General features: G+C 53.8%; 1 pseudogene across 1 annotated transcript in view, besides 1 other annotated feature; it reads left to right on the forward strand.

The window, feature by feature from the left end:
• Positions 1-26,924, forward strand: part of SMPD4BP (sphingomyelin phosphodiesterase 4B, pseudogene) — a 28,764-nt pseudogene extending 1,840 nt beyond the window's left edge. The window contains exons 2-18 of the transcript NR_026922.1: positions 2,558-2,641; positions 4,215-4,301; positions 5,552-5,694; positions 5,854-5,929; positions 6,310-6,418; positions 6,529-6,581; positions 6,706-6,856; positions 11,660-11,790; positions 13,885-13,956; positions 20,950-21,095; positions 21,662-21,752; positions 22,205-22,305; positions 23,075-23,238; positions 23,851-24,056; positions 24,398-24,631; positions 24,883-25,014; positions 25,445-26,924. The product of NR_026922.1 is annotated as a sphingomyelin phosphodiesterase 4B, pseudogene (transcript). The remainder of the gene's footprint in view (positions 1-2,557; positions 2,642-4,214; positions 4,302-5,551; positions 5,695-5,853; positions 5,930-6,309; positions 6,419-6,528; positions 6,582-6,705; positions 6,857-11,659; positions 11,791-13,884; positions 13,957-20,949; positions 21,096-21,661; positions 21,753-22,204; positions 22,306-23,074; positions 23,239-23,850; positions 24,057-24,397; positions 24,632-24,882; positions 25,015-25,444) is intronic.
• Positions 26,932-27,656: an enhancer, noted in NCBI's record as "H3K4me1 hESC enhancer chr2:132279157-132279881 (GRCh37/hg19 assembly coordinates)". NCBI's record gives its function as "activates a minimal SCP1, AML or CMV promoter by ChIP-STARR-seq in naive H9 embryonic stem cells {active_cell/tissue: H9 hESC(naive)}" and the evidence as "EXISTENCE:reporter gene assay evidence [ECO:0000049][PMID:30033119]".

The raw sequence follows: 27,849 nt of genomic DNA on the forward strand, positions 1-27,849 counted from the left end.
TAGCACCACTGGACTCCAGCCTGGGCGACAGAGTGAGACTCCGTCTCAAAAAAAAAAAAAAAAAAAATTGAAAAAACTTGGGAGATGTTCCTATTGCCAAGTGGCAGAGAGGCAGAGATTCCTGTCTCCTCTCACTCTACAACTGCCTACATGGCCTCTTTACACCCAGCCTCTCTTCCTCCACAGACTGCCAGGTGCCACCCCAGTGCCGTTACTTGTGCAGTGGGCAGAGCTGGGCCAGGAAAACTGTAACTAGGCCACCAGTGGGACTTGGCAGACTTCCTGTCTGTGAAGTCTAGGTCTGAGCATTTTTTATTTTTGACCTGGGTGAGCTGAGAGGTAGGAATCTGGAAAGCTGATCTTAGTTTTCTTTCCTTTTTTTCTTCCATTTTTTGAGACAGAGTTTCCCTCTGTCACCCCGGCTGGAGTGCAATGGTGTGATCTTTGCTCACTGCAACCTCCACCTCCTGGGCTCAAGCATTTCTCATGCCTCAGCCTCCCGAGTCGCTGGGACTACAGGTGCCCGCCACCACACCCAGCTAATTTTTGTATTTTTAGTAGAGATGGGGTTTTGCCTTGTTGGCTACACTGGTCTCGAACTCCTGGCCTCAAGTGATCTGCCCACCGTGGCCTCCCAAAGTGCTGGGATTACAGGTGTGAGCCATGGCGCCCGGCCTTTGATCCTAGTTTTCTGATGGCTTATTCAAAGGCTCCCTTGGCAGAGCTTGCTCTTCCCCTCCGTTCATTGCATAGTGCACGGGTAATATGGAGGGGATTTGCCCCTGTCTCAGTTTTGTGAGGCGGTCTTTGTATTGGAATCTTGGTTCTGCCACTTACTAGCTGGGTGGGGGTAAGTGAGTTATCCCATTTCTGCCTCTCCTTCATCATCTGTACTGACTTGCAGTCATAGTACATCTGTACCCATCGGGTTGTTGTGAGGTTGGTTTTTCTATTCTTGTATGACAAACTTAGCAGTTTAAACCAGCACCCATTTATTATCTCATAGTTATGTGTGCAGAAGTCCAGGCAAGCTCAGCTGTGCATTACAAGATTAAAACCAAGGTGTTGGCAGCTTTGCTCTTATCTGAAAACTCCAGGGAAGAAGCTGCTTCCAGGTTTATTTAGGTTGCTGGCAGAATCCAGTTCCTTGGAGTTGTAGAACTAAGGTCTTTGTTTCCTTGCTGGCTGTCAGCTGGGGACTACTCTGTAACTTAAGGTCCCCTAACTTAGGACTCTAATTGGATGTGCAAAATGCCATCACAGCAGTACCTAGATGAGTATTTGATTGAACAAACAGGGGTCGGGAATCTCGGGCTGCTATCTTTAGAATTCTGCCTACCACTGAGGATTAAATGAGGAGATATATAGAGAGCATTTAGAGTGAGTCCTGGTATATAACAAATGCTGTACAAGCATTACCAGGGATTCAGTACCACAAACTTGGCTCTGAAGCTGGCCACTATGGGCTGCAGGAGAACAGTGTTTCTTTTTTTTTTTTGAGACAGAGTCTTGCTCAGCCTTCTAGGCTGGAGTGTAGTGGCGTGATCTCAGCTCACTGCAACCACCTTCTCCTGGGTTCAAGTGATTCTCGGGTCTCAGCCTCCTGAGTAGCTGGGATTATAGGCACCCACCATCATGTCCGGCTAATTTTTGTATTTTGGTAGAGACGGGGTTTTACCATGTTGGCCAGGCTGGTCTTGAACTCCTGACCTCAGGTGATCCTCCTGCCTCAGCCTCCCAAACTACTGGGATTACAGGCGGAAGCCACCGTGCCCAGTTGAGAACAGCATTTGTATAAAAGATGGGAATTGCTGGCCGGGCGTGGTGGCTCACGCCTGTAATCCCACATTTTGGGAGGCTGAGGCGGATAGATCGCTTGAGTCTGGGAGTTCAAGAGCAGTCTGAGCAACATGATGAAACCCCCATCTTTACAAAAAGTACAAAAATTAGCTGGGCTTGTTGATGTTTGCCTGTAGTTCCCGCTAGTTGGGAGGCTGATGCAGGAGGATCACTTGAGCTCAGGAGTTTGAGGTTGCAATGAGCTATGATCGCACCACTGTACTGCAGCCTGAGTGAGCAAGCAAGAGCCTGTCTCTAATCAATAAGTAAGACATGAGAATTGGCAATATAATGTGTGTTGCAAATTGGTAATGTAATGTGTGATATTCTCCTGGGCATTGTGAAACTATGTAATATTTTGTTAGGGCCAGGTGCAGTGGCTCACACCTGTAACCCCAACACTTAGGAGGCCAAGGCAGGAAGATCAGTGGAGGCCAGGATCCTGGGCATCACAGCCTGACAAACTAGCCTGGGCAACATAGCAAGACCTTGTCTCTAAAAAAAAAGGAAAATTAGCCAGGCATAGTGGCATGTGCCTGTACTCAGGAGACTGAGGTGGGAGGATTGCTTGAACCCAGGAGTTTGAGGTTGCAGTGAGCTATGATCGTGCTGCCGCATGCCAGCCTGGGCAACAGAACGAGACCCTGTCTCTAAAGAAAAATATAAAAAGATTCTGCTGTGTTGCAGATGTTGAGATTTTGTCTTTGTTTTTCCACAGTGGTTTGCTAAGAAGGCCATTTTCAACTCTCCATTGGAGGCTGCTATGGCGTTCCCTCACCTGCAGCAGCCCAGCTTTCTACTGGTAAATATCAACTGCTTGCATGAGTGTCATTGTGGTCATAGTTCTGTAGCTGTGGGACTTGAGTGTTCTTCCCATTGACTTGAAGAACTCTGTAGTGGTTGTTTTTTAGGGGCATGTGATGGAAACAATGGCAGACTCCTTAACTTGACTGTGCCTCGTTATTACTACAGGACCTTGGGGTTACTCAACCTCTGGGCTCTGGGTTTTCTCATGCAAGACAAGTTCATTCAAATTCTATTTTCTCTACTTCCCAAGGGTATGAGGAGGAGGAGCAAGTGAGAAGGATGTATATCAGAATGTTCATAACTTGTAAATTCTTAAATAGATATGAAGCATTCTAATAATCAGTCATAACTGTCATCAGTGAAAAATGGAGACACTGTTGTGCGGGGGGCTGCTAGGTTGCACTTTAAGTATTAAACATGATGCTGAGAACTGGGTGCAGTGGCTCATGCCTGGAGTTCCAGCTACTGAGGAGACTGAGGCAGGAGGATTACTTGAGCCCAAGAGTTTGAGACCAGCCTGGGCAACATAGTAAAGACTCAAAAAGGAAAAAAAAATGATACTGAGAAGTGAGAAGTTAGATATGAGGCAAGTATTGGTGATGAAAGTTCCTAATTTTAGTTCTTAGGAGGTGTTTTTGTAAACATTTATGTGGAAGGACATTCTTCCTCAGTGCACCCCACTAGAGTCAACAGGTCTGGCCCATGGCCAGACAGCTCAGGTCTCCATCTCTGTCTCAATCACTGTGAAATCCACCCTCGTTTGGAGGTAGACAAGGCCTTAGATATCCTTTGGCAAAGCTCTCTAGGTTGAAATTCTAGCTGTTTCTCCTGATCTTAATCCATTCGCACAGACGCCCTTTTTCTCCTTGTAGTCAGGGTGCTTTCCTCACATCCTACGACTAGGTAGATTTCATTAGTCCTTGTCCTGAGTCTTTTCTGGCCTCTCCATTGCCTTCATGATTAGTGTCTACTTGGCTGAAGCGGTCTGTAATTTTTGTCTGCCCTGTGTTTTAAGATCATTGGTTTAGTAGGTTCAGTGTCTATTGAATAAAGGACAGCTCATTTAAGAGAGCTTCTGCCATAGCCGTGATGTTGTTGGGCGTTCTTACTGATGATCACAACGGTGTAATCACGGTGGTCCATCAGGCTGGAAATTTCCAGTTGATGCGTACAAACTCAGTGGTACTCTGTGGCTTGTGAGGGGTGCCCTTACACAATCAAGATCCTCTTCTGGCTCTGGGGCTGACTCTGGGATCAGCCCCTACTTATGGATTGGTAGAAGTCAATCCTGTTCTGATCATGTGCAGCACTCTGAGGGGGTACTGGGAAACAAGGCTGATAGTTCCTGGTCCAGAGAGCATAGAACTACGGCCTCTCCTAGTAGTACTCTTTGGGCCACTGACACACATGAGGGGCTGGGGAACCAGGCCAGTGGTTATGGGTCTGACTCATAACCTATTGCTTGGATTTCTGTTTGACTCAAGCCAGAGTTTGACTCAAGCCAGAGTATCACTAAAAGCTGCAGAGTGAATGTCCTCGTGACTTTTTCGCTTTGTTCTGTTTTCTAGGCCAGCCTGAAAGCTGACTCTATAAATAAGCCCTTTGCACAGCAGTGCCAAGACTTGATTAAAGTAATTGAGGATTTTCCAGCAAAGGTATAGCTCTGCTAATGTCTCTCTTTGGAGCATGTCTTATACATTCGTTGAAGAACTTTATTATAATTCCTAATTTCCCTCCCCGCCCCAACCCCGAGCACTGCCTGGCACAGAGGCCTGGCCATTATCATGACCATTATGTTTATGGACACATTTAAACATGTGAACTTGTAGATCAGGGGTTCTTAGCCACAGGTGCTCTGTCCCTCAAGGGACACTTGGCAATGTCAGAGACATTTTTGGTTGTCACATCTGGAGGTAGATGGGGAGTGTGTGCTACTGGCATCTAGGAAGTAGAGGCCAGGGTTGCTGGAAACATTCTGCAAAGCACAGGACAGCTCCCTGCAACAAAGAAGTATCTAGCCCAAAATGTCAATAGCACCAAGGTTCAGAAACCCTAACGTAAATACTAAAAATATGTATTTAAATCACACCTGGAATTGTCAAGCCCAGGAAGCTGGCCTAGACAAGGAGTTAATACCAAATGGCAATAGGTCAGTTAGGTTTCAGGGGCTTCACTCTGGAAAGGATGTTGCTTTCCTTTCTGATAGAGCATCCTTCAAGTCAGAAGTTTCCATCTCTTTTTAAAGAATCTTTTTTTGTGGTGGCTCATGCCTGTAATCTCAACACTTTGGGAGGCCGAGGTGGGAGGATCACTTAAGCCCAGGAGCTCAAAACCAGTCTAGGCAACATACTGAGAACTTATCTCTACAAGAAATTTAAAAATTAGCTGAGTGTAGTGGTGTGTGCCTATAGTCCCAGCTACTCAGGAAGCTGAGGTGGGAGGATTGCTCGAGCCCAGGAAGTCAAGGCTGCAGTGAGCCATAATTGCGCCACTGCACTCCAGCCAGGGCAACAGAGTGAGACCCTGTCTCAAAAAATATGTATTTTGTGTATTTTTTTATTTTATATATTTTAATTTTCTTCATTGTTTATGTTTGTTTATTTTTCTTAATTTAGTCTTCTATCACACACAAAAAATGTATTTTGATTGGAGGCTGACTTACTTAGCTGGCCCAAGCCTAAAGCAACACTGCTTGGTATGCCATGTACCCCATTGGAAGAACCCAAAGCTGCTCTTGTCGTTGGCACCATGGCACCAGGGTTCCTTTGGGTGCAGGGCTGATCTCGTAGGTCTCAGCCAGGGAGTGGCCTCCTCAGAAGGAGCTGGGCAGCAGGTGGTGCAGGACTAGAGCCGGGGCAGGAATGGGTGCTGGTCCTGCCCGCGGCCTCACCACACATTGTTTCAGGAGCTGCACACCATCTTCCCATGGCTGGTAGAGAGCATTTTCGGCAGCCTAGACGGTGTCCTCGTTGGCTGGAACCTCCGCTGCTTACAGGGGCGTGTGAATCCTGTGGAGTACAGCATCGTGATGGAATTTCTCGACACTGGGTAGGTAGGTTGGTCACCGGAGAGAGGCTGGGTGATTCCTCATGGTGATTCCACCTTTAAACCACTCTCTGAATTTCTTAAGATTAAGAAACAATCAAAGCAAGATAATTCACAGTTCATTTGCCCTGTTTTTGTTTGTTTGTTCAATTTCATGTTCAGTGGCCCAATGATGAAGTTGGTTTATAAGCTTCAAGCTGAAGACTATAAGTTCGACTTTCCTGTCTCCTACCTGCCTGTAAGTAAACCACAGTGGCGAGAGTGGTGCTCGGGGCAGTGGGCCTTGCACAGCCCTGTGGTGATGGGCAATCTCCTCCAGTCCTCTGAGGGCAAATTGAGGAGCGATTCGTTCCAGGGGTGTGAGAGGCAAAGGAAATGGGTATTGCATGACTGCTACCCTTGCTGTCTGCAGCTTTTTATGAGATGGTAGGAGAAGTTCTAAGCAAAGACTCTTGTTCAGGCACTGCTCAGAGGCAGGGCACTGTCCCCACAGGTGGGTTCTGTGTGTGGGTCTCTTCCCCAGCAGCCTTCCCAAAGTGCTGCTGTGCATGTGGGGTACTGCGTATCGGGCACTACGCACCAGCACCTGCCCGCAAGCCTCACTGCCTCTCTCTGCAGGGTCCTGTGAAGGCGTCCATCCAGGAGTGCATCCTCCCTGACAGTCCTCTGTACCACAACAAGGTCCAGTTCACCCCTACTGGGGGCCTTGGTCTGAACCTGGCCCTGAGTATCCTTTGGTGGCCCTGAGGTAGGGAGGCTGTGGGTGGCCCAGCACTTGACACTTGCGGGGGGTGTGGCTCATCAACCCTGCGTGTTTGCCCCTGACGCTGCTCTCAGATCCATTCGAGTATTACATATTCTTCTTTGCCTTGAGCCTCATCACTCAGAAGGTAAGGAAGGGATGCCTTTTGCTGGGAGAGGTGGGGCCACGGCCCAGGGCTTCCCTGCACTTGTTGGTGCTTGGTGGCCTGGCAGTGTCCAGAGCCCACGCTAACAACTAGCTTGGTTTTCCAGCCACTCCCTGTGTCCCTCCACGTCCGTACTTCAGACTGTGCCTATTTCATCCTGGTGGACAGGTACCTGTCATGGTTCCTGCCCACCGAAGGCAGTGTGCCCTGCCACTCTCCTCCAGCCCAGGGGGGACCAGCCCCTCACCGCCTCCCAGGTAAGGCTGCCCTTTGTTAAGACCTGGCCCTTCCATAAGGGAGTGGCCTGGTCACTTGCATCGCCCACGGGGACAATGTTGCCACCCTTTGTCCACGGTTCCCCAATTTTTCTTATGCCTCATTCCCCACCCCCAGCTGTCTTAGCACAGACTGGAGGGTGGGGTGTGGCGGGCAATCTGTCCTTAGTGTTCAGTGTCTTTGGCCATCACTGAAGCTATCAGGTCCCTGGAGGCCTCCACGGCCTGCATGGGAATGGGCTGTGTTGTGCATGGAGCAGCCCTCCCCACAGGCAGTGTCTGAGGCAGTGAGCAGGGTGGAAAGGTTGTCCTATGAGCAAAAAAAATGGAAATCTCTATGGGCCCCTGGAGCAGGTCTTGAAGGGGAGGCCCTGGGCCAAAGAGCCTGTTTTGCCAGTCCAAACAGGCTGAGCCTGATGCGTGCCTGCACAGGTCGGGAGTGTGAACCAGGGGCTCTCATGCCTGGCTGTCCTGGGTCCTCAGTGGGCACTAACGCAGGGCCTCTTGGCCGACTTCCCAGGAGACCCTCTTGCCCCAGCATCAGCTGCCTGTGCACCTCTGACCCTCCTTAATCTCACTGGCCTATTGCCTTCCCCAGGAAGCTGCATGCAGGCCCCTTCCTGCAAGTGCTGGCCCACCCCAGATCTGCTGTCATGTGTAAGGCAGGCCAGGCCTTTACGTACAATTCACGTGTGGACAGATTCCCCAGAGGGTGGAGGGGAGAAAGGGAGAGGCAGGGAGGAGATGCTGCCCAGGTGGCGGCAGTGATCAGTGACCCTGAAATGTTGCTGATCCTGTGGAGGACTTGGAGGTGAGGCAGATTCACACCCTCTTAGATGCAGAATTCAGCCGCCAAGCAGTTTTTGATGCCTGGTTTTTTTTGTTTGTTTTAACTTTTTGCGTTTTTTATTTTAATTTTTTCTTTTAGAAATCGTATATGTGGGCTGGGAGTGGTGGCTGACGCCTGTAATTCCAGCACTTTGGGAGGCCGAGGTGGAGGGATCGCCTGAGGTCAGGAATTCGAGACCAGCCTGGCCAACATGGTGAAACCTCATCTCTACTAAAAATACAAAAGTTAGCTGGGCATGGTGGTGCACACCTGTAATCCCAGCTACTCGGGAGGCTGAGGCGGGAGAATCGCTTGAACCCAGGAGGCAGAGGTCATGGTGAGCTGAGATCACACCATTGCACGCGCACGCGCACACACACACACACAACACACACGCACACAGAAGAGATCACATACGTATGGTTTGGGTTTATTTATTTATTTTATTTTATTTTATTTATTTATTTTTTGGAGATGGAGTCTCGCTCTTTCGCCCATGCTGGAGTGGTGCAGTGGCACGATCTTGGCTCACCACAACCTCCGCCTCCTGGGTTCAAGCGATTCTCCCACCTCAGCCTCGCAAGTAGCTGGGATTAGAGGCACAGGTCAGTGTGCCCGGCTAATTTTTGTATTTTTAGTAGAAACGGGGTTTCACCATGTTGGCCAGGCTGGCCTCAAACTCCTGACCTCAGGCAATCCATCCACCTCGGCCTCAGCGAAAGTGTTGGGATTACAGGTGTGAGCTACTGCGCCCAGCATTTTTTTTTTTTTTTTTTTTTTTTTTGAGACAGGGCCTGGCTGGGTTGCTCAGCCTGGAGTGCAGTGTTGTGATCACAACTCACAGCAACGTTAACCTCCTGAGCTCAAGTGATCCTCCCACTTCAACCTGCCAAGTAGCTAGTACTATAAGCATGCACCCCTACACCTAGCTTTTATTTTATTTTTTTGTAAGATGGGTCTTGCTGTGTTGCCCAGGCTGCTCTGGAACTCCTGGGCTCCAGCAATCCTCCTGCCTTAGCCTCCCAAAGTTCAGAGATTACAGGCATGAACCACCGTACTGGTCCATTGTGGGCTTTTGTTTTTTTTTTTGACAGGGTCTTACTCTGTTGCCCAGGCTGGAGTGCAGTGGCGCTGTCTCTGCTTCAAGTGATTCTCCTGGCTCAGCCTCCCAAGTAGCTGGGACTACAGGTGCCTGTCACCACACCCAGCTAATTTTTGTATCTTTAATAGAGACAGGGTTTCACCATGTTGGGCAGGCTGGTCTTGAACTCCTGACCACAAGTGATCTGCCCGCCTCGACCCCCTAAAGTGCTGGGATTACAGGTGTGAGCCACCGCTCCTGGCCTAGCCATTATGTATTTTTAAAGACAGTCTTACTCTGTCACACAGGCTGGAGTGCAGTGTCATAATCATCACTTGGTGGCACAATCATCACTCAAGCCAGCCTGTCACCTCAGTGCATCACCACAGCCAGCTAATTTAACTTTTTTTTTTTTTTTTTTTTTTGCAGAGATATGGGGATGCCTCGCTGTGTTGCCCAGGCTGGTCTTGAACTCCTGGCCTCAGCAATCTTCCTGCCTCAGCTTCCCAAGTAGCTGGAATTACAGGTGCAAGCCACCACACCTAACTTTTTATTTTGAAATAACTTCAGACTTACAGATAAGTTTCCACACATAATAAAAATAACTTGTAGGCCGAACACGGTGGCTCACGCCTGTAATCCCAGCACTTTGGGAGGCCAAGGCGGGAGGATTGCTTGGGGCCAGGAATTCGAGACCAGCGTGGGCAACGTTGGGAGACCTCATTTCTACAAAAAAAAAAAAAAAAAAAAAAAAAGCCAGGTGTGATGATGTGCAACTATGGTCCCAGCTACTCAGGAGACTGAGGTGGGAGGATCACTTGTGCCCAGGAGCAATGAGCTGTGAGCTGTGAGTGTGCCACTGCACTCTAGCCTGGGGTAACAGAACAAGATCCTGTCTCAGGGAAAAAAAAAAAAAAGAAACTTTCATAGACCCTTCACCCAGATTTCCAAATTGTTAACACTTTGCTGCATCTGTTGTTTTCCACCTCTATTGTATGTGTTTTTTTTCTCTAAGCCAATAGGAGTAAGCTACAGGATATGACACCCCTTGACCTCTTAATATTTCAGTGTATTTCCTAGAAGCGAATGCATTATCCTATATAGTCACAGTGCCTGTAACCACACCAGGAAGTTAGTATTGCCACCAGGCCTCACACTGTGTGCAGTGATGTTTCACAGGCTCACCCACTGTATATAGTGATATTTCTAGTCCCCTTCAGTCAGGAACGGTCCCTTGCCTTTCTGTCTTTCCTGACCTTGACCCCTCCAGAGCATGTGGCCGCCCCTTAGGCTGTCTGGTATTTGCTGGTGACTAGGCCCAGCATGGGCTTTGTTGGGAGGAGCACCGTAGTGGGACACCTGGTCCTTGCCAGGTGCCCTTTTATCACCGGGTTAAAAAGGTGCCGGTCAGGTTTTTCCATTGTAAAATAATTACTTTGTGCCCAGATTAAATAGTAATGAGGCTGGGCGTGGTGGTTCATGCCTGTAATCCCAGGACTTTGAGAGGCTGAGGTGGGCGGATCACTGGAGCTCAGGAGTGTGAGACCAGCTCAGGCAACATAGCAAAATCCCATCTCTACCAAAAATTTAAAAATAACCAGGTGTGGTGGTGTGTGCCTGTAATCCCAGCTACTTGAGAGGCTGAGGTGGGAGGATTGCTTGCACCCAGGAGGCGGAGGTGGCAGTGAGCCGAGATCATGCCCCTGTACTCCAGCCTAGGCTACAGAGAGAGACCGTATCTCAACCAAAAAAAAAAAAAAAAATTAATAGTGAGTGCCTGGGCAACATAGCATGACCTTGTTTCTACTAAAAAGAAAAACATCAGCCAGGCATGGTGGTGTTGGTCCCAGCTACTTGGGAGGCCTAAGTCTAGGAGGTTGAGGTTGCAGTGAGCTGTGATTGCATCATTGCACTCCAGCCTAGGCAACAGGATACGATCCTGTCTCAAAAAAAAAAAATTGATAATGAGAATTTACCAGGAAGATGTATGGAGACCATGTAATTATCAGTAGTATTAACATCCACTTTTGATTCTCCCCTTTATTCAAATTAATTTTATTTGCAGACAGGGTCTTGTTCTCTTACCCCAGACTGGAGTGCAGTGGTACGATCTCTGCTCACAGCAACCTCAACCTCCTGGGCCCAAGAGATCTTCCCGTCTCAACCCCCCAAGTATCTGGGACTACAGGCAGGCATCACCACACCTGGCTAATTTTTATATTTTTTTTTTGTGGAGACAGGGTTTTGCCCTATTGCCCAGGCTGGAAATTTCTTAATTATTTAGAAACAGGGTCTTGCTCTGTCACCCCAGGATGGAGTGAAGTTGGTACGATCATTTGTCACTATAGCCTCAACTCGTGGGCCCAGGCCATTCTCCCTCCTCAGCCTTCTAAGTAGCTAGTACTACAGGCACATGCCACCAGGCCCAGCTGTTTTATGTTTCAATGTTTTTGTGGAGATGGGTTCTCACTTTGTTGCCCAGGCTGATCTCAAATGCCTGGCCTCAAGTAATCCTCCTGCCTTGGTCTCCCAAGGTGCTGGGATTACAGGTGTGAGCCCCCATGCCCAACCTCACTATTGATTCTTGACCAAATCAGCTATTAATAGGGCGGTTACCAAGTGGTGGTTCTCTAACTTATCCCTCCTTCATTGATTAGTGGGTCAGTGGTCACTCTGCGGTAAGGAAGACTTCTCTCTTTGCTATTTATTTATTCAGGTATATCAGTGTGGATCAGGGGGCTGGGGGGGAGGTATGCATTGTGCTATTGAACAAGTTGTAATCTCTCCCTGCTCTCGTTGATTTTGATATCCAGATTGCCCCTGGCTAGGCCAGCGGGAGCCTGTAAACTCGGGCCTGTTTCTGTGTCTCCCTCAGGACACCAACCATGCCCTTTGCTTCCTATGGCCTCCACCACACTAGCCTCCTGAAGCGACACATCTCTCATCAGACGTCTGTGAATGCAGACCCCGCCTCCCACGAGATCTGGAGGTCAGACACTGCTCCAGGTGAGAGTTGAGCTGGTCAAAAGAAACTGTTCAGCCAGCTGGGCATGGTGGCTCATGCCTATAATCCCCAGCACTTTGTGAGGCCGAGGTGGGCAGATCATCTGAGGTCAGGAGTTTGGGACCAACCTGGCCAACATGGTGAAACCATGTGTCTACTAAAAATACAAAAATGAGCCGGGCACGGTGGCAGGCGCCTGTAATTTCAGCTACTCAGGAGGCTGAGGCAGGAGAATCACTTGAACACAGGAGGTGGAGACAGCAGTAAGCTGAGATAGTGCCATTGCACTCCAGCGTGGGTGACAGAACTGGACTCCATCTCAAAAAAGAAAAGAAAAGAAAAAAGAAACTGTTTAGCCACCTTCCACTATGTGGGGCAGAGTCCCAGAGGCGGCCCCTCAGCCCGGGGCTGATTCTAAATTGTTGGTATTTTCCTGCTGTGACATTTAGAAAACATGAAAGTAAATCTGCCCACCCTTCTAACTTGTATGTCATTGATGGCGTTTTTCATCCCAGGATCCCCTGTCCATGGAAGTTGTTTCGTTTTGCCTGTGGTGAGGCAAAATTGTTGCAGAGGCTTTTGGTTTCCATGACACTGAATGGTGAGGGGTCTGTGCAGCCTCCACAGGCCTTCCATTGATTCAGGGGATCCAAGTAGTAGGTGACAGATTTCCTTGTCTGCCCAGAGGGGCTCCAGCCTGTCAGGATGGTATGGGCTGGCTCACTTCCTGAGTGCTGGTCAGCTCCCAGGTCCTGGCTGTGTCTTCTAGGCACACATCAGAGAGATTCAGCAGGTGCCGCTTCTGACGCTGGATCCTGGGGCTGACTTGGTAGCCACAGCCTTGCTTTTGACAGCCTGACATGTAGATAAGATAGGATTCTATCTCCCATCTTGTATATAACTCCTAGTATTTGGGGTGCTACACTTTTTGAAGCCTCCATACCGTTTCACAGCATCCTCGCAGGGTGGAATGGTAAGAACCGTTGCCCCTGTTCACAGAGGGGACCATGATGCCCAGATGGCTCTTGGCTGTGTAGACCGTGGGCTGTGCTGGCCATGAAGAGGGCAGAAGATCGTGACACAGGGCTTATAGGGCAGAACTGGAAGGTTCTGCTGTTCCCTGGACCAAAGCATTTTTTTTTTTTTTTGAGATGGAGTCTCCCTCTGTTGTCCAGGCTGGAGTGCAGTGGCTTAATCTTGGCTCCGTGCAACCTTCACCTCTCAGGTTCAAGTGATTCTCCCGCCTCAGCCTCCCAAGTAGCTAGGATTACAGGTGCCCACTGCCATGCTCAGCTAATTTTTGCATTTTTAGTAGAGATGGGGTTTCACCATGTCTCCAACTCCTGACCTCAGGTGATCCACCTGCCTTGGCCTCCCAAAGTGTTGGGATTACAGGCGTGAGCCACTGTGCCCAGCCCTTTTTTTTTTTTTTTTTTTAAATCAGAGTCTAACTTTGTTGCCAGGCTAGAGTGCAGTGGTACAGTCTTGGCTCACTGCAGCCTCAAACTCCTGGGCACAAGCAATCCTTCCACCTCAGACTCCCAAGTAGCTGGGATTATAGGTGTGATGCCTCACCACACCCAGCTAATTTTTGTATTTTTTGTAGAGACAGATTTTCACTATGTTGGCCAGGCTGGTCTTGAACTCCCAGCCTCAGGTAATCCACCCACCTTGGCCTCCCAAAGTGCTGGGATGACAGGGTTGAGCCACCATGCCTGTTGGTTGCCTTTTTACTCTATCAATAGTATTTTTTCATGCTCAAGAGTGTTGATTTTAATGAAGTCTAGTTGTCTATTTTTTTTCCTTTTTGTTGCCTGTGCTTTGGGCGTCATATCTAATTAATCATTGTCAAATCTAGTGTTATGAAGTTTTCTCCCATGTTTTCTTCTGAGAGTGTATGGTTTTAGTGCTTATCCTCAGGTTGCTTACCCATTTTGAGTTATTTTTTGGCGATGGTGTGAAGGAAGGGCCCAGCTTCGCTGTTCTGCACATGGAATGAGTTCCCAGCTCTGCTTGTTGGAGACACTGTCCTTTCCCCACTGGATGGTCTGGCACCATTGTCAAGAATGGTTTGACTAGCTAATGCTTTTTTGCAGGTTTTTGTTGAAATGTGGCTTCATCACTATTCGTTGGAGATGTATCAAAAAATGCAGTCCCCTCATGCCAAGGTATGTTTCCACAGTTTTTCTTCCCACCTCCTGCTTCTGACCCTGCTCAGCCTGCTGCTTCTTATCCTGCCTCGGAGTGAGTTTTCACAGGCTGGATGGTGGGAAGCAGAAACCCACCACCCACCTGTCACTCAGAAGCCGAGTAAGAAGTGGGCATCATTCTCTAGTTTCCGGTGGCGGGCAGGGGGCATTGCACACTGACGTGTAGACACTTGAGGCCTGGAAGTCTGGCCTTTCCGGGGCCCTCCCTGTGCAGCTTCCTGAGCCCCCTCCCTGGCAGCGGGAACAGATGAGGTTGTGGTGCTCTTGCTCTGGGGGTGGGGGGAGCTGCAATGCCTCTGGGAGCCACTTTCTCGTCTGTCTCCTTGACCATCAGCAGTCTTTGTGCTTTCCCACGAAGGGGTGGCCTGGAGCCTTCTTTGCCTGCTCCCCCTACTCCCCCACCTCCTCCAGAGCATGAGCAAGCAGCCCTTCTCGTGGCGAGTGGCACCTGGTGCCCCCCTGCATGCAGCCTGGCTTGCCTCCTCTCCCTCCGCCTCGCCTCTCCCCACTCTCTCTCTGGGCAGCCTGCTGCCTTCAGATGCATGGAGGTGGCGGAGGCCCTGGGTTGTTACTGCTGTTGCCGTTCCTGGAGCTAGCACCACCCCTGGACCGGTCAGAGTGAGAAAGCAGCTAGGTGAACCTTAGATCTCCAGTCAGTCATCTCCATGGAGCAGCTTGACTCATGCCCATCCATGCCCTTGCCTGAAGTGGCATCAGCCACGTAGTCTGGTGCCCATGGCGTCTGTGCATCAGTATGCTTGGGAAACTTTGGCTTTGTCACTGACAGAATTATTGAGGGCTTCCTCCAGAATGTGGGTGATGGAGTTAAACTTCAGAAGAGCATCCTGTCACTTTTCCTCTGGTTCTGGCAAAGAGCTGTGGGTCTGCTTCTGCCACAGTCTGCAGCCAGTTCCATGGCCCCATGCTTTGCCATGTGGAGGCTCTCTCAGAGCATAGGGTCCCCCAAATCCTCACCCTCAGAATCACATGGGTGGAGAGTGGGGAAAAGCTGAGGACCCCATCTTGGGCCTCTTGAGTCACGAAGAGCCTGCAGTGCCCTTCCTGCTTCCAGAGCAGACTTGCTGCATGTCCCTGGCTGGTGCCTGGGGGCCTGGTTATTCCCCGGGCCCGCTCCTCCCGCAGGGCTCTGGGACACTCACTCAGCACTCGTGCATGTGGCGTGGCGTGGCCTGGCAGGGGCAGGGGCCACTGCACCGCATTGTGTTCCTGTTGCTCCTTCTGCCTTCTGAGGGAGTGTAGTAAGCACACCTACTTTCAAGAGTCAGCCAGAAAGGCTCTTTTGGGCTGTCACCTGTGAGGATTCTGTGTCCTCACGGGCCAGAGGAAGGGCAGGGGGCTGTCCCTGTGGAGGGCAGGAGGTGCAGTTCCCTTCTTCCCCACATTTGCTTCCTCTTGGCCAGACGTTGGGGTAGGTGGGCCCTGCCCAGAATACCTTGCAGTAGCCGGACCAAGTACCCAGAGACGCTCCACTCTTCGCCTCTTCCAGTTCAGGCAAAACACAAAACGCAAGAAAACTTGGTGGGTGGGAGTCAGAGAAAGGCAGCTGTGGAAGTCTGTGTCTCCCAAGGCTTCTTGTCGCTTGCCCAGGCCTGTGCTACACGTACTGCCATACAGAAATCCCTGCCCGTCCCCACTAGACCTTATTTTCAGATGCAGGAAGTGAGGCTCCTGGGGTCATCCTCCTCACCCTGCTTGAGTCCAGGATGCGTGCTTGCTCCCCAGTGGCCCTGTGGGCAGTAAGGATGGCCATGGCGCTGTAGGCCACTGTGTTCCTGCAAGCAAGGGCAGAGCCACACTGGGGAACTATGTGTCTGATTCCTCCCTGAGCCCCAGGTCTGGCACAGAGGAAGGCTGTGGAGGGCAACACCTTCCTGCCCTGCTCCTTCCCTCCCTGCTCTGCGTGTCATGGCGACTGGCGTGTGTTCTGATTTCTCCTGTGTGGAGCCCAGTGGGTGTGCTGCTTGGGCAGGAGGCATGCTGCTGGCGGGGCAGGATGTGCACCAGGCCGGCTGTGGCTGCACTGGGCTGAAGGGGTGCTTCGGCAGGCCGTGGTGCTGCAGGGCAGCAGCTCGGAGGGTCCTGGCTAGGAGCCAGCTCAGCCTCAGGTTCCTGCTGCCTCTGGGTGTGTGTGGCTGTGGCCAGATCCTCAGGGGCTCCCGCCCTTGGGAACCCACTGTATGTGGAGGGTGGGAGTTTCTGGTGCGGTAGGAGAGGCTGCCTCCAGCAGTCAGAGCTGATGTGCACACCACCTTAGCTGACGTCCAGACTATGAGGGTGGAGGGCAGGGCCTGGTGGCCTGAGCCTGTGCTCCTCGTCTCTGTGCTACCCTTGGGGACCTGTCCTCGCCCTCAGTTCTCAGAGAGCCAGTCATGGAGGGGACATTGATTTGAGTTTTAGACACATAGGAATCAATCATGTCTTATACCAATTTGGTAAATTTCTTAAGACAACCCAGGGAAATCCAGTCAATTCCACATGTGTCTTTTCTGGGCAGAGTCTTCCTCCTGGAACATGCTCCGCTGGTTTCTTTTCTGAGCCTCAGGATCTTGAGGTCTTGGTGGCTGGCAGCGTGTCCCAGTGAGGGCCCTGGGCTCTTGGAGGGCTCTGGGTTGCATGTGCCACACATAGTGTGACTTCAGAGTCACTGGGGAGAGTGGGTCCCATCTTGAAGGGCAGTGAGTTGGGCCCTTCCAAGGAGCTAGAGAGGCCTTTAGGCCCCAGCAATACTGAGGGGCCACCCAGGTGACCTGGAGGCCCCTCTGCCCGGGCCTCCAAAGCGAGGACAGTATGGCCACAGCCCTGGCCTGGCTGCGGAGGCGGGTGCTGCGCTGGCCCGCGGCTGCTGGGACTGCAATTGTTTGGATTTTCACTGACCGTGCTTTGTTTTTGTTTTTTTCTCCTCACTCCTGGGCTCGTTCTCATTGCTTTCTTTCTCTCTCCGCTTCCCCCTCCCGTGTCTGGTCCTATCTCTCCCCTTCCCCACCCGGCCCTCTTGTCCTCTGCTCTTCTGTCTCTTCTGACATCTCTCTGTTCCTTTTCTCAGCTGGAGGTTCTGCACTACCGACTCAGTGTCTCCAGCGCCCTCTACAGCCCCGCCCAACCCAGCCTCCAGGCCCTCCACGCCTACCAAGTACTGGCTCATTCGTTCCCTTCCCCCTGCCCAGAGTGCATGTCCATGCCTGGCAAAGCAAGGGGCCGCCGGGGCCGGCTGCTGGTGACTCAGAGGCTAGTTCCAAGCAGAGCGTAGCCCCTGTGTCGGGGGGAGGCAGGGGTCAGCCTCCAGCCTGGCTTGGCCCCTGGCTTTGTAGACTAGTTTGGTTGGGGGTGGGGGTGGTGGCTTTGTGGCAGAACGAGGCATGTGGGCATGTGGCCCTGGCTGTCCAGGTTCCCGGCCAGTGGAGGTGTCACAAGCTCTCCAGTGTTGGAGGCCCCGTGCTTGGCCCTGGTTTGAAGAGCTGGAGTCCTCAGGCCTCAGCAGTGGCTGGGTTCACTGCACTCTGCAGGGTCTGGCGCTTAGGAAGGAGCTGAAGACGCAGAGGCCTGGGACTTACGGGTGGTGTGGGTTCTGCCTTGTTCAGAACTGTCACCCAGCCTGGAGGTGCTGTGACCCAGAGCCTGCGTGTGAGGCAGGGGGGTGGGAAGGACCTGGGGCTTGACCCTATAGCCCACAGAAGCTGTCAGTCCTTGACAGCCCAGCCAGCACCCGGCCTTCATCCGGGGAGCCCTGGCCACTCATATACACCTCCAGAGGCAGATTAGAGTGGGTGGTGACCTCATAGAGGTTGCAGCTGCCTAGGCAGAAATGACAAGTGTGTGGATGGATTTGAGGTCAGTGAAGCAGAGTTCAGACCTGTAGGGAACTTCAGGGATGACAGAGGAATCTGTGAGAGCCGGGGGAGACGGGCTGTGCTCACAGCCAGTGATCTGTCCCGTTCACCTGGGAAGGAGCACACATGATTGAACAGGAATTTGAGCACAAGATGAGAAAATGTGTTGGCCCCTTAGCGCTGGTGGGCTGGATGGCGGCCACAGCACACGGGGGCACCTCATTCCGCAGGAGCCACTGCAGAGGAGAGGAGGAACCTGAGGGCTTGTGCCAGGGAGGGAGGACAGTGTCCAGAAAGCATCTGGCAAACCCCATGGTGGGAAGGTGACCAGCGAGACCCAGGTGGGGTGAGCTGAGGTGCTGTGAGTCTCAGCCCAGTGGGAAATGTGCGGCTTTGGGGACACATCCTTAAGAAGCAAGCAGGTGACTGTGACCAGGGACTCCATGTGGGAACATGGCCCAGGAGGGGTGCAGAGCTGAGGGAGAAGTTTGGCTCAGCAAACCTATGGGAAAATAGCCTGAGAGGGTTCCATGTGACTGCCGGGGGCAGGGGTGGACAGTGGGCCCTCCAGACCCTTCAGAAGGACCAGGTGGTGTGGGGCAAGTGCACCAGCAGGGAAAGGCAGTTTTCCAGTTCCCATGTGGAGGTCTTCCCCTCCCCTGAGCTGCAGGGAGGATGTTACGGCTCAGAATCCCAGGCCAGGATTGGAGGGAGGGCCTGGGCTGAGACTGGAAGAGGAGAAAGATCCTGGTCTAACTTCCCACCCCACTGGTGCCCTTCTAGTTAGGCAATATAGATACAGGTATTATGTCTCATACTTTTCTCCTTCCGTCTTTTTTTTTTTTTTTTTTGAGACAGAGTCTCACTCCGTTGCCTAGGCTGGAATGCATTGACATGGTCTCCGCTCACTGCAATCTCCACCTCCCAGATTGAAGTGATTCTCCTGCCTCAGCCCCTTGAGTAGCTGGGATTACAGGCATGTGCCACCCACCCGGCTAATTTTTGTATTTTTAGTAGAGACGTAGTTTCACCATGTTGGCCAGGCTGGTCTCAAACTCCTGACCTCAAGTGATCCGCCTGCCTTGGCCTCCCAAAGTGTTGGGATTACAGGTGTGAGCCACTGCACCTGGCCTTTTCTTCCAAAACAATGCAAATTCATTGCCCAAAGACTTAACGATACAGAGAGAAAAATAGCCAGCCACGATGGCTCATGCTTGTAATCCCAGCACTTTGGGAGGTTGAGGCAGGCGGACTGCTTGAGCTCAGGAGTTTGAGACCAGCCTGGGCAACATGGCGAGACCCCTGTCTCTACAAAGAAATACAAAAATTAGCCTGGTGTGGTGGTGTGTGTGCCTGTTTTCCCAGCTACCCAGGAGGCTGAGGTGGGAGGATCCCTTAAGCCCTGGAGGCAGAGGCTGCAGTGAGCCCAGACCACGACACTACACTCCAGCGTGGGTGACAGAGTGAGACCCTGTCTCAAAAAAAAGAATGCCTTCCACCCCATAGCTCCATCTTCAGACTCAGCCACTGATCTCTGGGGTGTGTCACTTGGACCTGTGGGGACAGTTTCCTGACGGGGAGACTTGAGTGGGTAGCAATATGGGCAGTGGCCCGTGTGGGGTCTACAGCATCCCAGGATATACCCAGAGGCTGGGCCCTGCACCAGCCTCAGCAGCACAGATGTGTTAAGGCCCAAAGGGCTAGGGGACAAGTGTGGAGAGGCGAGCGTGTCCACTCAAGACTCAGGGTCCTGCCCTCAGCACCCCCACTTCCCTGCCCTCGTCTACTCTCGATGCTCCCACTTGCCCTCCCAGTGCTAAGCAACCAGAGGAAGCCCATGGCCACCAAAAAGGCTTTCCTCTCCGGCTAGATCTCCAGGATCCTGCTTGTATGTTACAAATCAAAAAGTTTGGCCTAGGCTGGACACAGTGGCTCACACCTGTATTCCCAGCACTTTGGGAGACCTGAGGTCAGGCCCACGTGGTCAAACCCCATCTCTATGAAAAATAAAAATTAGCTGGGCGTGGTGGCACACACTTGTCGTCCCAGCTACTCAGGAGGCTGAGTCAGGAGAATTGCTTGAACCTGGATGCGGAGGTTGCAGTGAGCTGAGATCGCGCCACTGTGCTCCAGCCTGGGCGACAGAAGAAGACCTTGTCTCAAGAAAAAAAAAAAGTTTGGCCTAATATGCCTGACTGTGCTTTTGTCTTGGGGTTTTCCTGACCACAGGTCCCTGGGCAACAGAGGAAGTGACACCCGGGGCTTCTACTGGGCCGAGTTCTCATCTGGCTGTGTCCAGGATGAGGAGCAGGTGGAAGGAATTGGGGAGGAAAGTGAAGCCGTGGGGTTCTTATTTTTGAACCAGGTCTTAACTCTCACCAAGGCTGGAGTGCAGTGGCACGATCCTAGCTCACTGCAGCCTCAAACTCCTGGGCTGAAGAGATCCTCCCACCCTAGCCTCCTGAGTCATTAGGACTATAGGTGTGCACCACGACACCCAGCTAACTTTTAAAAATTTTTTGTAGAGACAGGGTGTCCCTATGTTGTCTAGGCTAATCTCGAACTTCTTAGTGATCTTTCCGCCTTGGCCTCCCAAAGTGCTGGAATTACAGGTCCGAGGCACCACACCTGGGTTCCATGTGCTTTCTGCACACACTTGGGAGGCAGGTGGGAGACCCTGGATCCAGAGCTTGTGGGTGATGCTGGCTTTCTCCTGCCCTGGGGATCAAGACAGGCACCAGTGCCCAAGGGCACAGCCTGTGCCACCCGCTGCGGATTTGCAGCAGTGCAGAAGCAGGCCTGGGAGGCCCTCTGCAGATGTGTCTGTCTTAGTGAGGCCTCCCCCGGGGTGGGCTGTGTGGGCGCTGGGCCAAGCACTTCCATACCACAAGCTGGTCACAGTTCAGACCAAGCAGTGCAAGGCACGTCTGCTGGGTGCCAGGCACAGTGGTGCCCCATGGGGTGGCCCCACTCCCGGCCTGGCTCGTGCCTCCTGTGGGGAAGCAGAGCAACTGGCTCGGTGCGGGATGTGGTCAGACCTGGAGGCCGAGTGCTATGGGTGCCGCGCTCCTTCCCAGGCCCTCACCCCTCCTTCTCCACCCAGGAGTCGTTCACGCCTACTGAGGAGCATGTGTTGGTGGTGCGCCTGCTGCTGAAGCACCTGCACGCCTTTGCCAACAGCCTGAAGCCAGAGCAGGCCTCACCCTCCGCCCACTCCCACGCCACCAGCCCCCTGGAGGAGTTCAAACGGTGGGTGGCCCTTGCGGCTTCCCACCACTGCCGTCTCCCCCACTTTCCCCTCCTAAGGTGTCACCCACAGCGACCTCTCCCCAGGGCATGGAGGGCAGGGTGAGGGGAGTCCCTTTCTGTTCACAGAGCACGTGAGGCCTCTCCAGGCCTAGGCAGGTGTCCTCTCACCCCGCCCAGTTGGCTCCCAGAGCCTCTCTCTCCAGACTGGCCAGAGAGGCCCCATTGTGCTGCCATCTCTTGCATCTCATATTCTTCAACCCTGTCAGAAGAGCTGGGGTGGCCCTGACTGCCAGGGCCAGCGGAGTGGGCTGTTTGTATGGGACTGAGGGTGAGGTGTGTGCAGGAGCTGCACTGACTCGGCCGCCTGCGTGCTGTGTGTCCTTGGGATGTTCCCTAGCCTCTCTGAACCTTGGTTTCTTCCTCTGAAGAATGGGGCTGAACCTCCCGGAGGTGCCCAGTGCTCTCCCACGGTGGAGCCAACCCTCACTAATGGGAGCCCTGGGATCATCTGTGAGCAGGGCCTCCTTACTGGGCAAGCAGCAGGTGACCCTCCCCATCCCCTGCAGGGCCGCTGTCCCGAGGTTCATCCAGCAGAAACTCTACCTCTTCTTGGAGCATTGCTTTGGCCACTGGCCCCTGGACGCATCGTTCAGAGCTGTGAGTGTTGGCCCCGTCACACGTGTGCCTGTGTCCTCTGTGTGCCTTGAGGTGGGAGGTCCTTTGGGGCAGATAAAGGAGGAGAGCAAGTGTTATCACAGAGGCCTTGGCAAGGAGGGGGTCTTGGAGGGCCACATTGTTCTTTCTGTTTGAGTTTCCAAAGCCAACCCTCAGGAAAGCCTTGCCCTGTCCCACCTGTCTGGTGCAGGGCAGGTTCCTACCCTTACCTGACTAGGGAGTACTCTGACCCCTGGGCTGGGAAAAGCCCACCCTGGCTTCTGGAGGGCCAGCAAGAGAGCCAAACCTCACAGGGCTGTGCATGTCTCTCCTGCGCCCTCTGGGGGAAGTGGGAAGAGTCAGTCCCACCCAGCTGCCGCCTGGTATCTGGGCTCCAGGCCACCGGAGGATTTGGCCCCCAGCCACTGAGCCCTCAGCACATACCTCCCCCACAGGTCCTGGAGATGTGGCTGAGCTACCTGCAGCCGTGGCGGTACGCGCCTGACAAGCAGGCTTCAGGCAGCGACTCCCAGCCCCGGTGTGTGTCGGAGAAATGGTGAGCCGCAGCCCCTCTCACAGACATGCCACTGGCTCCCCCAGGTGGATATTGTTCCAGTGGGTGGAGGCCAAGCCAGCGGCCTGTGCTGGGGTCAGCCTGGCCCTGGCCCCCGTGGCCTCCTGAAGTCCTCTCCCAGCCCCTGCCGAGCGGAACACAGACCAGCCTTTCCTAGGCTCAACTTTGCCAGGCCCTAGAATTGGTTTCTCATGGAAGCCGTGGGTGACCCATCCTGCCCTGTCCCCTCTCCCTTCTGTCCCAGACGAGTGTTCAGCCACCCCGAAACTATCCCTTGATCTTCATCAGCACAGAGCAGAGCAGCAGTGATCAAGCAGGGGATGAGGGAAGCCGTCTTCCCCCATCCCCTGCTTGATCCTCACAGCAGACCCCAGGCTTCCGTGGCACCTGGCATGGCCACTGACCCCTCCCCTCCTTGCCCAAGGCATTCCCCTTTGGACCCTCTGGGGGATCCTCCCTCAGCCCCCTCAGGCTCTGGGCTGGCCTCTGCCATGGTGGCTTCCATCCACTTGGAAAGGGGCCTCAGCCTTGCTAAGGATGTGGCGTCCTCAGAGGGCCTGGGTCTTACCTGCCTCTGTCCTGCCCTCCCTGCCTGCCCGTGGCCCCCTGAGCTGTCATCTGTGACAGCTTGTCACCTTGGCTAGGGAGAGTCTGAAAGCCCAAGGGTGAGCAAGGGCATTAGGGGCATGGACCGGCGCAGACCCCGCCTCCAGTTGGAAGGCTGGCGCCAACCTGCCACCTTGGTCCCCAGGGCGCCCTTTGTCCAGGAGAACCTGCTGATGTACACCAAGTTGGTTGTGGGCTTCCTGAACCGCGCACTCCGCACAGACCTGGTTAGCCCCAAGCATGCGCTCCTGGTGTTCTGAGTGGCCAAAGTCTTTGCCCAGCCCAACCTGGCTGAGATGATTCAGAAAGGTAAGTCCTCAGCCTGGGCCAGCCGGGTAGACGTCAACCCAGCCAGACCAGGGCCAGGCCCTTAGCTGGGGGTGGCTGGTCTTTAAGAGGGACCCACACGTCCAGAGTGGGCCCCGGCAAAGGGTGCTGTGGAGACTCCTGGGACACATCTGTGCGGTGAAGTCTGAAACTGGCTGGATCCTGCCTGCCCTGCAGCCACCAGGCACTGGGTGGGGGATCGCAGGTGTGCTCACAGAGCGGGCCGGCACGGTCCAAGCTGCGGCCCCGTGACCCCGCCGTTTAACCCTGGCAACTCGTGGTGGCCGCTTCAGGAGGTGAGCCTGGTCTCTGCCTTGCATTCATCCTGGCTGGGTTGGGCGTTGGTTTCTGTCGATCCTCCTGTTGTTTACCTCCTGCAGACACTGCTAGGGGCTCTGTGAGCCAGCAGCTCCCCCATCCGCCCTCCCCATGTCAGCCACCTACTGTGTGGGAGATGTTGCCAGGCAGGGCCTCAGGAGGACACCCCTGGGTCAGGGCTCCCCAGACACCTCAGAGACACCCCAGAATCCTAAGGGCAGCAGTCGGGTACTCTGCCCCGGGGAAGTGGGTGCCAGTTCGTCTCCTGCCTTCTAGGTGAGCAGCTATTCCTGGAGCCAGAGCTGGTCATCCCCCACCGCCAGCACCGACTCTTCACGGCCCCCACATTCACTGGGAGCTTCCTGTCACCCTGGCCACCAGCGGTCACTGATGCCTCCTTCAAGGTGAAGAGCCACGTCTACAGCCTGGAGGGCCAGGACTGCAAGTACACCCCAATGTTTGGGCCCGAGGCCCGCACCCTGGTGAGTGGATTGGCGGTGCCTGTCCTCAGGGCCCCTGGAGCCATGGGGCTGAGCAGAACCCGGGAAGTGCTGTGATCTGGCAGGAAGGAGGGAGGCTGGGTGTAGATTTGACGCCATATCTCCTTCCCCCATTTTAGTAAAGTCTAATTTTTTCCTGATAACGAAGGCAGTGTTTGTTGGGAAATTTCAAATGTAGAAGATCATCCTTTAGTCTTTAAAAGTCCTCTGGCAGAAGCCACTCCTCCTGACGCTCAGCAGTCTGGCTGTGCATTGCTCTTGGGGCTGCCTGGGTGGCAGCACAGGCCTATCCTGCTGGTGACCTGCCCACGCCTCCCTTGCAGGTCCTGCGCCTCGCTCAGCTCATCACAGAGGCCAAACACACAGCCAAGTCCATCTCCGACCAGTGTGCGGAGAGCCCGGCTGGCCACTCCTTCCTCTCATGGCTGGGCTTTAGCTCCATGGACACCAGTGGCTCCTACACAGCCAACGACCTGGACGAGATGGGGCAAGACAGTGTCCGGAAGACAGATGAATACCTGGAGAAGGCCCTGGAGTACCTGCGCCAGATATTCCGGGTACGAGCTATGGGGCCTGCCCCACCGCCATCAGGGTCCCCTTCCCTGAAGGATCCACTCCACCCAGCCTGTGGTCAGCCACCTACCAGTCCCAGGCCCCACACATATGGACCCAGTGTTGTGGGAGGCAGGCCCACACCCCAAGCGTCATATCTGGGTCCCCTTGTTGCCACTGTTGTAGGCTGGTGGGGTGAAGACTGGTCCCCTCTCTTCATCTTGATGCTGAGGGCAGTGGCATTTCTCTCTGGCAGCTCAGCGAAGCGCAGCTTAGGCAGTTCACACTCGCCTTGGGCATCACCCAGGATGAGAATGGAAAACAGCAGCTCCCCGACTGCGTCGTGGGTGAGAACGGACTCATCCTTACGCCCCTGGGGCGGTACCAGGTGAGAGACCTGTGTCTCAGAGGCACATGGGCTGGGCCCTGACCCGTCCCCAGCTCCCTCCTGCCTCGTGAGCAGAGGCCATCAGGCTTCTCTGAGTTGTGTGCGGGGCTGTGTTTTCTGACCCGACCCCATGGCCTGGCTTTCTAGATCATCAGTGGGCTGCGAAGGTTTGAAATTGAGTACCAGGGGGACCCGGAGCTGCAGCCCATCTGGAGCTATGAGATCGCCAGCTTGGTCCACACGCTCTTCAGGCTGTCGTCTGCCATCAACCACAGAGTGGGCAGGAGGGCAGGCCTGGCCTCTTCAGAGAGGGTTCTAGATGCTCCTGCTTGGGGTGCAGTCCTGGGGTGGCCTGTGAGGGCGGGGTACTGCTGTCCTGAGGCCTGTGGTGCCACCACCCCACACCCTCATGCCTCTGTCTGTGCTTCAGTTCGCAGGACAGATGGCGGCTCTGTGTTCCCGGGATGACTTCCTCGGCAGCTTCTGTCGCTACCACCTCACAGAACCTGGGCTGGCCAGCAGGCACCTGCTGAGTCCTGTGGGGCGGAGGCAGGTGGCCGGCCACACCCGCGGCCCCAGGCTCAGCCTGCGCTTCCTGGGCAGTTACCGGACGCTGGTCTCGCTGCTGCTGGCCTTCTTCGTGGCCTCTCTGTTCTGCGTCGGGCCCCTCCCATGCATGCTGCTGCTCACCCTGGGCTACGTCCTCTACGCCTCTGCCATGATACTGCTGACCGAGCGGGGGAAGCTGCACCAGCCCTGAAGGTGGCAGCTGCCTTCAGAGCAGGCTGGAGGGATTTGCCACACAGCCCCACCCTTGGGCTGAGAGGACCTGGGAAGCCCCTCCAGGAGGGAACACGGTCATCCTCAGGCTTCTGGAGCGGGGTTCCTGCAGCCGCAGAGGCATCTGGAGGAAACACAACCAAGAAAGGAAGGCAGTTGGGCCCCAGCAAAGGAGTGGCTACCAGGGCTCAACAGCCACGCTCTGTGACAGCGCAGAGCTCAGCGCCGGCCTTTCCCTCCCTCTGCCAAGGACTCATGGCCAAGCCAGCTCTCGGGGCCTTTTTTCCAGTGCCCATTTGGCTACTCTGCTGCACCAAGCTTGGGAGCCAGCCTGCCAAGAGCCGCCTGGGCCTGGCCTCCCCACTGGCTGGCCTTGAGGTAGGCAGAGTGGGTTGTGGCGCCTCCTCTCTCTGTGTGGGACCAGGACGGTGGCTTAAGTCTCCACTCCAGGAAAGAATCAAAGTTTCTAGAGTTGTGAGAAAACCAGAGAGTGGCTCTCCTGATTCTTCACTCTGGGGTGCGTTCTTCATGTTCTCCCAGCTGTTCCAAGACTGGGCCGTAGAATTCCATGTTTCAGGAGCCTAAGACCCTCCCAGAGCCCAGGTGCTTCACCGCAGACCGCAAGCCATTGAGCACATCACCCAAAGCAGTGGCCAACATCGCGGACCCCTGTGCCTTGTCACAGATGGGTGCTGGTCCTCAGGCGTTGGGGACACTGCTGGGTCGATGGGGTCGGATTCTGCCAGTTTCTGCTCTGCAGCCAAAGATGGTCAGAAGCATTGTCACTTCAGTAACATCAAGTGCTCAAAGACATGGCAACCGTTCAGTGGTACTTAAGTATTCAAAATATACAACTACAGATTCTCTGACAGAAACCAGCACGGGGTCTTCACCTTCATTCACCCCACAGGCGACATGCGAGGGAGAACAGCATCTCAGTGGTGATTTCCAAACCAAGCCTTTGTTTTCGGTGTGGGGTTTTGGGGGTTTGCTTTAATGTTTTTGAAATTGTAAATGTTGGGCTTTGTATTTTGATGTAAACTGAGAATAATGGCATTTTAGGGCCTGTGACCAAAAATGAAGCTTGTAACGACCATGGATCTGAATAAACATGTCCTTGCTTCTGAGTCTTCTGGCACCTGGGCTCAGTCTCTAGGAGGTTCACCTATACAGAGTCCCTGAGCACACGGGGGCTGCAGAAACAACTGTTGGGCACCCTGTCGGCCCCTCCCCCCAGTGTCCACAGGCCTGGGCCTCTGGCTTCCTATGCTTTCCTCTCTCAGAGGCACAGTAGACTTTGCCCTGTCTTTACAAAAGATTCAAAAAGTTAGGCATGGTGGTTCACATGTGTGGTCCCAGCTACTTGGGACGCTGAGTTTGGAGGATCGTCAGGGTCCAGGAGATCAAGGCTGTAGTGAGCCTTCATCACGCCACTATACTCCAGCCTGGGTGACAGAGTGAGACCCTGTTCTCAAAGAAAAGCTGACCACCGGGAACATGTGCCGCCAAGTCTATGGCTTCCAGAAGCTCCAAGGATTGCGGGAGTTGCTGGGGGCTGAACTGTCTGGCCAGGAGTGGGGGGCAGGCAAAAACGCACTGAGAACCAAGAACAGCAAAGCTGAGTGAGGGGTCAGGGTCCTGGGGGCTGGGACCTGGACAGCGATGGCCACAAGGCCAGCTGGTGCTCAGTGGCTTCTGCCTGGGGAGCAAGGGCAGCAGCGGGCAGCTAGGTTCCAGCCACTTCCAGGTAGCAGGGTAGGGACCTCGCCAATAAAACGGGATTTAAATTTTGCCAAGAACTTTCACTGTAGAGAAAATGGGACTGCTGGGATGAGAGCAAAATGCAGTTGGTGGGGCCCGGCCAGGAGGCACTTGTGAGGGACTTCTGGGGAAAGACTGGAGTTGGAGCAACTCAGGGGAAGCAGTTCTGTCTGGGGCACAAGGAGGAGGGAGGCCAGGCTGGAGGCAGGAGCTCCTGCACATTCTCGTCTCCACCCCTGGATGCTTCCAGAGTGGTTTGGCCTAACTGCCACTGCCCCCGCCTCCTCAGCTCCT

Source organism: Homo sapiens, chromosome 2, assembly GCF_000001405.40.
Source record: "Homo sapiens chromosome 2, GRCh38.p14 Primary Assembly".
Taxonomy (NCBI): domain Eukaryota; kingdom Metazoa; phylum Chordata; class Mammalia; order Primates; family Hominidae; genus Homo; species Homo sapiens.